Raw genomic sequence first — 13873 nt, 5'->3', positions numbered from 1 at the left:
ACGCCATTCTCCTGCCTCAGCCTCCCGAGTAGCTGGGACTACAGGCGCCCGCTACCACGCCCGGCTAATTTTTTGTATTTTTAGTAGAGACGGGGTTTCACCGTGTTAGCCAGGATGGTCTCGATCTCCTGACCTCGTGATCCGCCCGCCTCGGCCTCCCAAAGTGCTGGGATTACAGGCGTGAGCCACCGCGCCCGGCCCCCAGTGAATTCTTAAATCCTGGCTAAACATTGCTTTTATTATTCCCTAGAATCCTTTCATTACTTGCTAGCTTATAGCTGAATGTTAATATTCAGTTAAGCAAAGGATTTTGAAGCAAATCAATTATCACACATTCCTTAAAATATATCAAACATTCCAGAGGCCAATACAAGTGAATCTGAGTTTGACCATTATCATACATAATATGTACAGATACTATTGCCTATTTAAACAGACAATTAAAAATTGATTATATTTTGGGAGATCTCTATAAACTCATCAAAACTAGAGAACTTGTCATGTAACAGAATCGTTCAGCTTGATATTCTGCAATCAATATTTTTAGAGTGCAACTTTCAGAAGAATGCATTTCAGATTTTTAACTTCAATAGCAATGGATTTGCTTGTAGTCACTGAAATCTCAAACTTTTGTCATCATTTAGCAGCCATTGGTCATCTATTAATAAATGCATTAATATTTATCAAATGACAAGTCTTTTTTAATGTGCTTTAAAAATGTGCTAAATACATTTTGCCCTACAGTTCAAGTTGGCTTTCAAAGGGCCCTTATAAACTATCAAACTGTCACAATGCAAATTACATAGTAAGAGAAATTACAGAGTGATTTAAATAGAACTTCTTGGAAGGATGTGTGATCCTAGGATGCAATCAGTATTTTTCATTAAATACTGGTAATCAGATTATACACCAAATAACCTAGTCTGTACATGTGATTGGCAGTGAAAAGTATTTTTAGACTCAGGTACTCAACATTGGCTTTGCAAGTGGTATAAAGCAAAGAGCCATAGTCTACCTTAAATACGCCAACTTCTTACATTTCATACAACTGCTTCATTCTATAGAATTTCAGGGACCAGAAAGAATTGCATTGACTGGAAAGAATCAAGTCAAAAAAGGTGGGGAGGGCTAGTGTGGAAACAAACTTCTGAGGGAAAAATTGCCCATATGAAAGAGCCTAAGAAAGTGAAATTTCACTTATGCCTTTTTTTAGTACTTAAAACATATTTTAAGCATGTCTTTTGTGTGAATGACAGTATAAGCATTGTGGGAGAAAAAGGATAAGTGCAAACTCTTTTGGAGATTTATAGTATAGTTATTGGAGTTTTTAGTATTATTTCAGATCAAGCATAGAACCATATCAATGCTCCATGAGTTGGGGAGAAAGAGAGCAGTTCTGAATAAAGACATCAGGGAGGCTGACATGGGTGGATCACTTGAACTCAGGAGTTCAGGACCAGCCTGGGCAACATGACAAAACCCCATCTCTACAAAAAGTACAAAAAATTAGCCGGGCATGATGGTATGTGACTATAGTTTCCAGCTACCTGGGGAGCTGAGGCAGGAGGATCACTTGAACGCCAGTGGTTGAGGCTGCAGTGAGCCAAGATTGTGCAACTGCACTCCAGCCTTGGGCGACAAAGTGAGACTCTCTCCCAAAAAAAAAGAAAAGAAAAGAAAAAGAAAAAGAGATCAGGGTGGATTTTACTGAAAGAGTAACATGTAATATGGAGGAGACAAGGTGTACAGGAGTTGACTGGAAAACAGTAAGTGGCCTAAGAGGGCTGAACAAAATAAAATAAGCCTGGAAAGGAAGTTTGGACTAGTTTGTGGAAGGCATTGAAGGCCAGAGATCCAAAGCAATTCCCTAGGGCAACTAGTATGTTCTTAGATTACTTAACGTGCCTGTTGGCACATAGGACACAGAGTATGCATGAGTTATTAATTCACTGAACCAGTGATAAAAGAGACAAAAGCTCTTTAACTTACAAGAGAAAACATGGGGAGAAAAGATAGTACTATCATGCATACCACATTGAATCGTGAAAAGCATGTCCAGTTATAATTTTTCTATCTTCATTATTCACTTAATAAATATTTATTGAAGAAGTATGATATAGCGGTGGGAAACATGTGAAGGAATTGGTTTGGGTTCACTTAGGCCTGCCTTCAGATCTCATGTCCGTCAATTGCTTAGTCTAAGCCTCAATTTTCTCATCTGTTAAATGGGCATAATGCTGCTTCCTTGCAGAGTTACTGTGCACATTAAGTGAGATACTGTGAATAAAAGCCTTATTACATGGCCTGACATATGGTTAGTGCTCAAAATAAGTTAGTTCCCTCTGACTCTGGCCCTTTTTATACACTCTTTCTCTTCCTGTAGTCTACTGTCTCCCTGCACTAGGAAACTAGGGCCACTTTTGTGTTGCTCTAAAGGAATAGCTGAGGCCGAGTAATTTATAAAGAAAATAGGTTTATTTGGCTCATGGTTCTGCAGGCAATAAAAGAAGCATGACAGCAGCATCTGCTTCTGATGAGGGCCTCTGACTGCCTCCATTTACAGTGGAAGGCAGAAGGGAGCTGGTATCTACAGAGATCACATGGTGATAGAGGAAGCAAGAGCAGGGGAGGTGTGAGGCTCTTTTTGACAACCAGGTCTTGGGAGAACTAACAGAGTAAAAACTCATTACCACGAGTACCAAGGCATTCATGAACCATCTTCCCCCACAACCAAAACACCTCCCATTAGGCTCCACTTCCAACACTGGGGATCAAATTTCAACATGAGATTTGGAGGGGGGTCAAACCAAATTAGAGCAATAACTTTCTCTATTCTGAAGACCCTAGGATTACATCTAAACATAAGCAAGAGTAATTTCTGGAGCCCCCACCCAACGTCTGGGACTCAGCTCAGGTCATCCTCTCTATAGTAGTTTCTTTCTTACCTTGGGCATGGTTTTTTTTTTTATTATTATACTTCAAGTTTTAGGGTACATGTGCACAACGTGCAGGTTTGTTACATATGTATACATGTGCCATGTTGGTGTGCTGCACCCATTAACTCGTCATTTACATTAGGTATATCTCCTAATGGTATCCCTCCCCCCTCCCCCCACCCCACAACAGTCCCCGGTGTGTGATAGTCCCCTTCCTGTGTCCATGTGTTCTCATTGTTCAATTCCCACCTATGAGTGAGAACATGCGGTGTTTGGTTTTTTGTCCTTGCAATAGTTTGCTGAGCATGCATGGTTTTTTCCTCTTTGGACTTTTGCCCCAGTCGCCCTTTTAGAGCCCTGATCTTTCTAAGACCAAGCCTCTGTCCTCTCCTTGCTAAACTCCACAACTCCCACTTTATCCCCTTTTCTTACTGGCTGTGCTGCCCTGGAACTTGGTCTGGTCAATAGGTTTTTGCTACTAATGAACTTCACTGATAGGGTTTGACTAGTCTCCACAGTATTGCCTACTTCTGGATTGGGTCCTGGGTTTGTGTCTTTCAAAAACCTTGCTTTTTATGGAACTAAGCCACCTCTCCCCACAGCAGCTTTATGGGAGCACTAACTTGGATCTTTTGCCACACCACTGGAATTTCCCCTGGACCCTGCAACTAAGGAAGTGACTGTGTGTGTATTGAGGGTTGGCATGGCTCCTAGTCCTAGTCTCAGCCTCCAGGGATCTGTGCCAGGCCTGCCCATGTCTGCAGCATTCTTAGAGGTACAAAGATGAGCAAGCCCAGTTCTTAGACTTAAAGATCATATAAGATAGTAGGCAATATGAAATGAGTGCAAGACTAAGGATCGTACAAGGCAGAATATGGTAAGTGTGTTAGGGAAGTACAAAGCACCCTGTGAATTCACAGAAGCAAGATTTCAATCACATTGTTGAACTGCCATGGTGAAAGCAACATTTGAGCTAGGCTTTCAGTGATAGATATCAACAGACAGATAAATGAAAAGACATGGCTAGGACAGGGAAGCAACGTGAACAAAGACACAGAGGTAGGTAAATGATAACAAGGGAAGAATATGTAGTAGGTGGGCGAGCTGGAGAGAATCTGGTCTGCATCCAGATTGTGAAAAATGTTAAACGCTTGGCTAGGAGAAAAGCACTTACTTTGATGACTATTTGAGACCAGGGCTATAGTATACAGCCACACAGGTTATGCACAGCCAACTCCAGGGGTCCCATTCATATGCATTAGGGGTTGGTCAACCTTTTCTGTTTTATCTAGCCTGATAGTAAATATTTTAGGCTTTGCAGGCCACGTGGTCTATGTTGTAACTACTCAACTCTGCCTTTGGAGCTCAGAAAAAGTTATAGACAATGCGTAAACACATGAATTTGGATGTGTCCCAATAAAATTTTATTTATAGACACTGAAATTTGAATTTCACAAAATGTTACTCTTCTCACTTTTTAAGCCACTTAAGAATGTAAAAACAGAATGTTCTTAGCTAACAGGTCATACAGAAACAGGCAGCAGACCAGATCTGGCCCCTAGGATGTAGCGTGCTGACACCTGATAAAGACTCTGTGGGCCGGGCGCGGTGGCTCACGCTGTGATCCCAGCACTTTGGGGGCCAAGGCAGGTGGATCACTTGAGATGAGGGGTTCAAGATCAGCCAGGCCAACATAGTGGAACCCCGTTTCTACTAAAAATACAAAAAAAAATTAGCCAGGCATGGTGGCATGCGCCTGTAATCCCAGCTACTTGGGAGGCCGAGGCAGGAGAATCGCTTGGACCCTGGAGACGGAGGTTGCAGTGAGCCAAGATCGCACCATTGCACTCCAGCCTGAGTGACAGAGTGAGACTCTGTCTCAAAAAAAAATAAATAAAAAAAGAGGGACTGAATGTGAACGATACTCCTAAGTTGTAAGACACATGGACCATGGTGGAAATCCATTGATGCTGTTTATTAAAGACCAGCATGATGCAGTTTTGTCTGTATAAGAAATAGACGAGAGGAAAAAGAGATGTGAAAAGGGAATCCCATTCTGATGGTACTGCCGTACTTCAAGCAGAGTGTGTGTGTGTGTGTGTGTGTGTGTATGTGTGATATTGTTGACATATTTCTGAACTGCCATGTAGAAAGTGACATTTGAACTAGGCCTTCTATTTGAATACACCTATTTTTCTATACTTTTTCCTCTAAATTGTCTACACAATGTATCATCAACTTGGCACCATGACCAGCTCTCTGGATGTCTTTTATAAAAGTGAATGGCAGAAGTGTCTTAAAAGAATAAAAGGAGGAAAGCAATCATTCTCAAGGTTATAATCTTTGGGGTTAAAGGGGAAGAAACTCAAACCCTTGAGTGGAGGCAGTAGTATAAATTTTCAAGAAATAAAACAAAGAAGCCTTCACTTTGCAATCACTTGCTCCTCTTTTATCACAACATCATATAAAACATCTTATAAAATTCATTGTGCTTTCTGTTACCCTCCATTTTAAAAGCCAGCACTTGGGAATGTTTCAGAATATCGATTCAGTGAACTTCTGTTGTACAAAGCTTTATCTCATTGTTGATATGCTGTCTGCATTCCAGCATATGACTATGGGCATCTATTTGTGTCTGATCTTATTGGATCCATCTTCTTTTGTTCATCACAGTAGAACTATGTGAGCCAATGACTAGGCAGGAAAATTCCATGACAAGATTCGATTAGAAAATTATCATCTAGGTTTTTATGTGTTGGTTACCCAAGTACTAACTGGTTTATCATCTTTAATAGTTTAGTCTCTGAATCTACTATTTTTAAATGAACTGTAAAGATGTTACTAATATTTAGTATGTGTGTATAACACAGATACCAGTGGCAAGAAACATCTCCAATCTAAAATAATGGGTGAAGTGTCTACTGAGGCAAATATCTGTTTACTATGTGAAATACTTCTCTATCACATATGGATACACACAAAGGGTAAACTTTCTCACAGATAATAAATGGCATGCTACAATAACGTCAGTTAGCAAGAAGTTCCCCATAGGGATAATGTGTTCATTTGGCAAGGAATTGAAACAGATAATTTGGATTCCTTCTACCCTAATGTTGTAAAAGTCTGCTGAGGAATTCCAGAAGACCCAAATCACTAGTAAAATAATAGAGAAATCCACATATTTGACTATTTTGTATTAAATGTATTTAAAAGTTTAGATTTGTTATTTATAATACTTCTTTGAATAGATAACACTGACAAATAGGATATCATTATTAATGCTAATATTTTACCATCCTCAACAAACTTGAAGTGACTAACAAAATTATTATATATAAATTCAATATCTTTTTGAAGTCTGACAACAAATGTACTTAGTACTCAAATCTATAAAATCTAATATTATCAAAAGATTTTAATATATCCTTAAATACATTCTAATGAGACTTTTCAAATAGCTGATATTTTGTCAGTATCATACCTTGTGCTAAATACACATGAATCCTTGCAACAATAGACTACATTGCACAATAGCCAATGTCCTCCAGCAACAGAACAGAAGATACCACACAAGCTGCCAGTATTGGATTCATTCACTGTTGAATGAATTTTGCTTTCGGTAATCTTAAGTGTTTGTTATACATCTGAATTTCCTTGGCATTTTCTTCATGCTCCATACATACAAAATAAACCAGTGCTGATACATAAACAGCTCCCTACCTCACTGGCTAGGTATCACAGCTGTTAAGCCAGCAGGTCTGGAAATGATAGCATTCTCTATGGCTCTAACAATGAGATAACTTTATAAATATTGATGTAAAATAGGAATGTAATTCATTTTATCTTATCTGGGCAGGTTTCCTATGCTCCATACTGCATTATTCATGTACTGGCATTTGAACGGTTGCCTACATTTGGAAATTCTGTTTACAAACTTTTATATTTGGGACTTACAAACCTTTCTGATATAAGCAGGATAAGTATTTTCCCCGATCTCATGAGTTTGAAAATAGAGTTCCAGAGCGGATACCTAAATTGAAGCCATGTGAATAGTGATTAGTTCAATGAGATCTTACATCCAGCCCTGCTGAATCCTGTTCTGTGCTCCCTACATTGCATCACACTGCATCTTAAGAAGATCATTCCAGAGTTGGTTGCTGTGTAAACCTGAGGAGTGCTCACCAATAGCCAAGTCTCCTCTCCTTCCAGAGCACTTAGAACATCATACTTCCCAGTCAGCCTTAACCCCCAGTTGGGTGAGATCATGGTACTAGCTCTGACCAATAGGCTATGAGCAGGAATGAGGTGTGTCACTTCTGGAACGAGTTGGATAAAAGCCTTCGTGAGATCCTCGGTAGCAAACATGGAAGCCATAGATTGAGATGGTGGAGCTATAGGATGAAAAATCCTGGATCACTGAGTCACTGCATAGAGGAGAGCTACCCTGGAGAGTCATCTGACTTAAGCAGGCTTTGACTGAGGAAGAAATAAACTTTTTCAGTAAAGCCACTGAGATCTGAGGGCCAGTTGTCACTGCAGCATAAGCTCAGCTTATTCTAACAAAACTAATCCACATCCTTTCTACAGCTGCTATCAGCATTATACCATTATTATCTCCTAATATATCATCTCCAGTTAAGATGTTAAAGGAAGTACAAAAACTGGTCTTTGGTTCTATGGAGAAAATAAAATAGTAAAAAGGGATAGGAAGTTATTAAGGCTTAGGTGCCACAATTTTAACTCAGTGGTCAAGAAAGAACTCACGTAAAATGTAACATTTGACCAATGACTTAACAGCATACAGATATCTGCAAGAAATACATTCTAGGAAAAAGGGAATTGTCGAGCATTTGATGTTTTAGGAGCAGCAAAGAGGTCAGTATAGCTGAATACAGTGACTGAGAGGGAGGAGTGTAAAGAGCAATGAGGTTAGAGAGACAAGGAGAACAAGGCATATCATGGAGGGGTTTGTAGGCTATTGTAAGGACTTTGCCTTTTACTCTGAGTGAAATGAGAAGCCTTTGAGTGTGATGCAGTGTAGCAATATGGTTTGATTTCTATTTTTAGAGGACTGTTTTCTAAAAGCAGATTTATGGCATTGAACAGTTATTTACAATGGAGAGTGTTGCAATATAATGTGTATTCGATCATGTGTTATTTTGAGGCATGGGCTAATCCTCACTAAACCAATGCTCGTGGTCTTAGTTCACAATGCACATTATACTGATGATAATCAAGCTTCTATCTAAGTTTCCTAATACCTTAAGCTGCAATCCTCTGATTTGAAACACTTGCCATAAAGTTATCAAATAGATCCTTGCAAGGATCTTTATTCTCCAGAATCTCCATAGTAAATCATCAAAAATAGTTGGATATAATTCCATAGCATATGAAACCATCACTTGGAGTGTCCTAAGTGATGATAGAATGAATGCATTGATCTTACAAACTATTTACTTTGTCATTTCCACCTCAGTACCCAAACGACAGCATCTCCAAAAAGTAAAATCATTCTTCATTCCTAACTACCTATTCCAGAATTTGTGCCCACTGTATTCCTTTACTCCATTCAGAAAGCCCCCATTACCACAATAGCTTAAGTCAGAAACCGCAAAGATTGGTAACCATTTCTAAAAGTTTTTTCTTTTACCTACCCCCTCAAATTCAGCTTTCCCACAATCCAACCCAACCTCAAATCTAGTCCTTATTCCCTTTCATGTGAATTGCTAGAACAAACCCCACGGGTCTCTCTGGCCTTCTGGTTGTGTCACTCTCCTTTCTGCAAGAATGTGCTAAACTCTTTGGGCCTAAAGACCCCTCATGATCCAGTTCCTGCCTGCATTTTTAGGAGCAACTCTTGCTGCTTATGGATTGCAACATTTGCTGCAGCCACACAAAGCCGCTTGTTGTTTTCCAAGCATCCTAAGCTATTTCACACATCTGTGACTGCAAATGCCATGCCCTCTCATGGGATATTTTCTTGCCTTCTCTAACTGGCAACTTTCTCTTGCTTTCAGCCTCTGTTTATACATTGTCTCATTTATAGTCTTCCTTGATCTCACCTTCAGGATCCCTCATAGGTAACTTTATTTCAAAGGTGACTATGAGCTTACATCTGTCATCTCCACAAGAAAACTCTCTGTATGTCACATCCCCAAAACAAAGGCACATACATAATAGGTGTTCATATGTGTTGAATGAATTAATACCTCTAAATACCATTCTGGCTCCAATGCCCAGTATTACCATAATTGGGAGGATGTCATATCTGTATCTCAACACCCATCCTGTGATGCCCAATGGGTAGAAAATGGCATTTATTGTCATTTCCTTCATGAGGGAAAATGTAATTTCTTTCAGCAGTTTGTTGGGTAACTTGAAAATAAAACAGTATTTTAATATCGAACTTGTTCTTACTTGAGGTGGCTGCCTGTTTTTTGGCATTTTATCACCCCAGATTGATTTATCTTTGTAATTCTTCTTTGGCTCACAGCCATTGCTATTAAATAATTGCCTTGCTTCTTAATGCTGACCTCATCAGATGCTATGAGTATAAAGGAGAAATCCATTGAGAAAAATCAGCCCCTGGTTTGTTGGTTCTTCTAGAAATCTGAATTTTTAAATTTGTGTAAAGATAGATTGCATTAAAGAGAACATATTCTAAAATTAATAATAGAATAATGAGAAATGTAAAGACATCTAATGTTTTAAAGGGATTACATTTCAGCAATGCAACATTGTTTAGTGTTTATATTTGGCTCTTTTTTCCTTACTATAGTATAGCATATGTTCTGAGATGGGACATTGCTGTTTTTGCCTCATCAACTTGAAACCTCTCTCTAGTCAGCATAAGGCATGTTTTGTTGAATACTGCAATAATATGCTGTTGTAACTGGTGGCTGAGTCATCTGTTTTTACAGGATTGGTACTGTAAGGAGCTGAGACATATGTCTCATGTGTCAAAATTGAGTGTGAATTTTAAAGTCGAAAATAAAATGAACCCTTGAGCATACTCAAGTGCAAATCACAGCAACCTGTGGGCTGAGGGCTTTCACAGCTACTCTTTGATTTTTTTGAAGTTGCATTATTACACTATTGGTATTTTCATGCAGTGAGTGGAAAAATACAAACTCAAAGCTTATAAGTACTGCTGTGAAAAGGATGATATTATGGATTTTTCTACTTTCTCTGTGATCAGCTTTTTAAACCCAGGATCCTGTGTTTCTGGTCACTAAGGGCTTCTTTGCTTGTAGAGTTACCAGTGGTCAAGTGACCAAATGAGGGGTCAGGGTCATTTTAGCAAGTGGGCACCCACCTAGATTGGCTAGGAACCTTAGCCATGGGAGGACCATGCATCTTTTGTACCTGTTTCTCTTTCCTACAATGAAAGAATTCACAGAATGGGCACCTGGGTCAGGTGTCCAGGGTAAGATTAAGAGCACAGGAGATGCTGATGATGGAAACACATGGAGATCTTCATACCAAAAACACTGAGTTCACTCTGCTGTTGCATCATGATTTGACACTGAAACTAGAACCAGAAAACCTTCTTCAGGAAAGTTGAGTTTGAGAGTGTAGCTGCCCCTAGAGTTCACCTCCATGTCTCCTTAAAGCTCCTCTGTCTCCTTACTCAGCCTTGGCCCAGGATGCCTTGTAAAACACAATACAATGACAGTCAAAAATAACAGTATTTATGGGATTCGTGAATCCAAAAGTGCAGTGAAACCTCATTGACATTATAGCTAAGAGAAAGCCCCCTCAATGTCAGAAGAACGTCACAATGCAGATAAATTAAGCAGGGGCATTTCGATGGGAGCATGACTGTAGGCTAGAGGCGTGGTGACCTAGAATTAAAGTAAAATTAATGGGTGAGAATTAAAGTCTAGCTAGGGAAAAGAAAGAGGACTTCAAATTTCCCAAGGGCCCCTTTTCTAGATGGAGAGGGAAATCTGAACCTTCCTATCATCTGAACCTTTGGGAAATGGGTGGTCGATTGACTGTAATGGGCACAATGGGCCTATTGAGATGACGGATGCATGCTATATGTTGGTGTGGTCATGGTTCCATGGGCATATACATAAAAGCATAAAATTCATCATGCAGCATATTTAATATGTATATATTGTACTGCTGTGAATTATATCTCAATAAAGGATTAACAAAGCAGAGAAAGGGTCAAAGTGGGGCAGTACTTTGATTTTATGTATCTCCCAAGACTAAATAGTTCCTTAATGCAACGTTATCTCAATTTCTTCTCTCGCGCTTACGAAAAGCATTAAAAACCTTTTTTTTTAAAATATGTATTAACCTAGTTTCTCCAAAATGTCCTCTTTGTATGGTGTTATGTAAACAATAACTTCCTTTCATTTTGTTAAACAGCAGCTCATGATTAGCTAGGTGGCTTTGCCACTGCCCTCATAAACTCAGCTTCCAACTTTATGATTATATTGGCTTAATTTAACTTGATAATAATGATAAGGGTAATAGCTAATGTGCATTAAGCATTTAATGTTCCAGGCACTCTGGTTATGTACACACACTCATTTAATTCTCTTAACAACCTTTAGGTACAATAAATACATATATTTTTCTTACACAAAAATATTAAAGCTTAGCAAGGTTGAGCAGCCAATGCACAGTCACACTGTGAAATGTGGCAGAAATTTGGGTCTGTCTGTTATCAAAGCTCAGTCTTAAGCTCTCTGGAATGCACCATCTTCCGGCAGCCTCCAAATGCTCTTATAGAAGCACATCTTTCTTTGCAACTTGGGCTTTTATTGCTTTTTACTTTTTACATGCTTGGGGATAACAATTTTTGGAGGGAATATTAATTCAAAATAATTTACCTTACTTTGGTCACCATGAGGCATCATATGGAAAACAAAGTGTAATTAACAGCATCAAAACTATGAAGTTTAGCAAAGAGGGGCCATGTTTTCTTTCAGATTTCATCTCTGAGCTATGTTTTAATTCATGTAAATTTTCTAGTTCACAGAACTTTTTCCTTTCAGCATAAACATTTTTAAAATATTTTAACCATCTTTCAAAAATGCAAAATATAGCCTGAATATGTTCCTAACTTCTTAAACAGAGCACAGATTCTACCATGTATTAATTTGTATTCGGGGACATGGATGGAACTGGAGATCATTATGTTCAGTGAAATAAGCCAGGCACAGAAAGACAAACATTGCATGTTCTCACTTTTTGTGGGATCTAAAAATCAAATCAATTCAACTCACGGACATAGGGAGTAGAAGGGTGGTTACCAGAGGCTGGGAAGGGTAGTCAGGGAATCGGATGGAGGTGAGGATGGTTAAAGGGTACAAAACAATAGAAAGAATGAATAAGACCTACTATTTGATAGCACAATACGGTGACTATAGTCAATAATAACTTAATTGTACATTTTAAAATAACTTAAAGAATGTAATTGGATTATTTGTAACTGAAAGGATAAATGCTTGAGGGGATGGATACTTCATTCTTCATGATGTACTTATTTCACATTGCATGCGTGTATCAAAACACCTCATGTACTCCATAAATATATACACCTACTATGTACTCACAAAAAATTTTTAAATAATTTTTTAAAATAATAAAAATTACAGCCTAGCCAATATGGTTAAACCCCATCTCTACTAAAGATACAAAAAATTAGCCAGGCGTGGTGGTACGCGCCTGTAATCCCAGCTACTCAGGAGGCTGAGGCAGGAGAATCGCTTGAACCCGGGAGGCAGAGGTTGCAGTGAGCCAAGATGGCACCACTGCGCTCCAGCCTGGGTGACAGGGCAAGACTCTGTCTCAAAAATAAATAAATGTGACAAGGCAAGACTCTGATTCAAAAATAAATAAATAAATAAATAAATACATCACAAAGAGTAAAATAAAATAATAATAATTTGTACTTGGTGTCTGTTACTGGTGACAAATTCTGCCATCATATCGTGAGATACTTGGACACTGTTAAGATATGCTGGATTCTTGAACCCTCTCCAGAATGCCTCAAGTTGAGATGGAATTCTTTTGGCTGCATCATGTCTCCTCTCATCCACTATTCCAGTATCCTTATGCCATTTATTGAATTTCTGCTTCAAAATTCCTTTGGGCCACAGAGAACGATAATACATAATAGAGTTCAAAATATACGTAAAGCCTTTTTGAATAGTTTTTAAAATCTGAATAAATAATTAATAGGAGGACTCGACAGCGTCTTCCATGAAGAAAATGCAGATTTTATTTTTTGTCCCATCTCTCTTTTGTATGGATTTGTACAATTCAAATTTTTCAAAGGTATTTTTCCCCTTTGCATCCTATACTTGAGCTGTTATGATTATCTGAATAAATAATATCCAGATAAGTGTTTTATTGTGACTTAAAAATATTACTTACTGAGGAGCAAATTGATGATTTCTGTCAGCTGTTCATTAGATGTCTTAAATCTTTAAGAGGCCACAGCAGTGGATGTTCTTCAAGAGTGGTCTCCAGGCAACAGGGTTTCCAGGCAGATACTCTGTGGACACAAAAGTGAACAGAAATGAGATGGTAAATTTGGAATAGGGAAGAATTTCACACACATACGAATATTATAGTGTGTTGAAGAGAGGATTTCAAAGGAAAATTTTCGCTCTATAATTAATTTATTAAATATGGGATTTTTAGTTATTTATTCAATATTTGTTTCACAATACTTTAATTTTTTACCAAGAAAATATAATACTCAGTAATATACTGTTTAAGTAGAGTTTTTATTTAATTTTGATCATATACCTCAAATTACTATTTTCTTTTTTTAAAAAGTGAAACAAGTGACTAAAGAAGTCAGCATTTAAATATTTGCAAGTATGTCCCGCACTCAGGAACAGGTTCCAAATTATCTCACTAATGTCCTACATAAATGAAGTCTCTCCAAGTGCTTTTAGTGGTGTTAAAAT

The 13873-nt window shown here is 38.3% G+C and overlaps 1 protein-coding gene and 1 long non-coding RNA gene across 7 annotated transcripts in view; one reads left to right on the top strand and one right to left on the bottom strand.

Moving 5' to 3' along the window:
• Positions 1-13873, bottom strand: part of CYYR1-AS1 (CYYR1 antisense RNA 1) — a 175618-nt gene that overhangs the window by 52219 nt on the left and 109526 nt on the right. Inside the window, exons 2-3 of one of the 2 annotated variants that reach the window (NR_135516.1) lie at positions 13332-13452; positions 10302-10467 (exon numbers count right to left, since the gene is read on the bottom strand). This is a non-coding gene — a long non-coding RNA (CYYR1 antisense RNA 1). The remainder of the gene's footprint in view (positions 1-10301; positions 10468-13331; positions 13453-13873) is intronic. The other variant, NR_135515.1, reaches the window with a different exon arrangement.
• Positions 1-13873, top strand: part of CYYR1 (cysteine and tyrosine rich 1) — a 107071-nt gene that overhangs the window by 56253 nt on the left and 36945 nt on the right. The gene's annotated exons all lie outside the window — the stretch shown is intronic.

This window comes from Homo sapiens, chromosome 21 (genome assembly GCF_000001405.40).
Source record: "Homo sapiens chromosome 21, GRCh38.p14 Primary Assembly".
Lineage (NCBI taxonomy): Eukaryota > Metazoa > Chordata > Mammalia > Primates > Hominidae > Homo > Homo sapiens.
The sequence above is the reverse complement of the archived record's forward strand: the minus strand, read 5'-3'. Positions and strand labels throughout refer to the sequence as shown.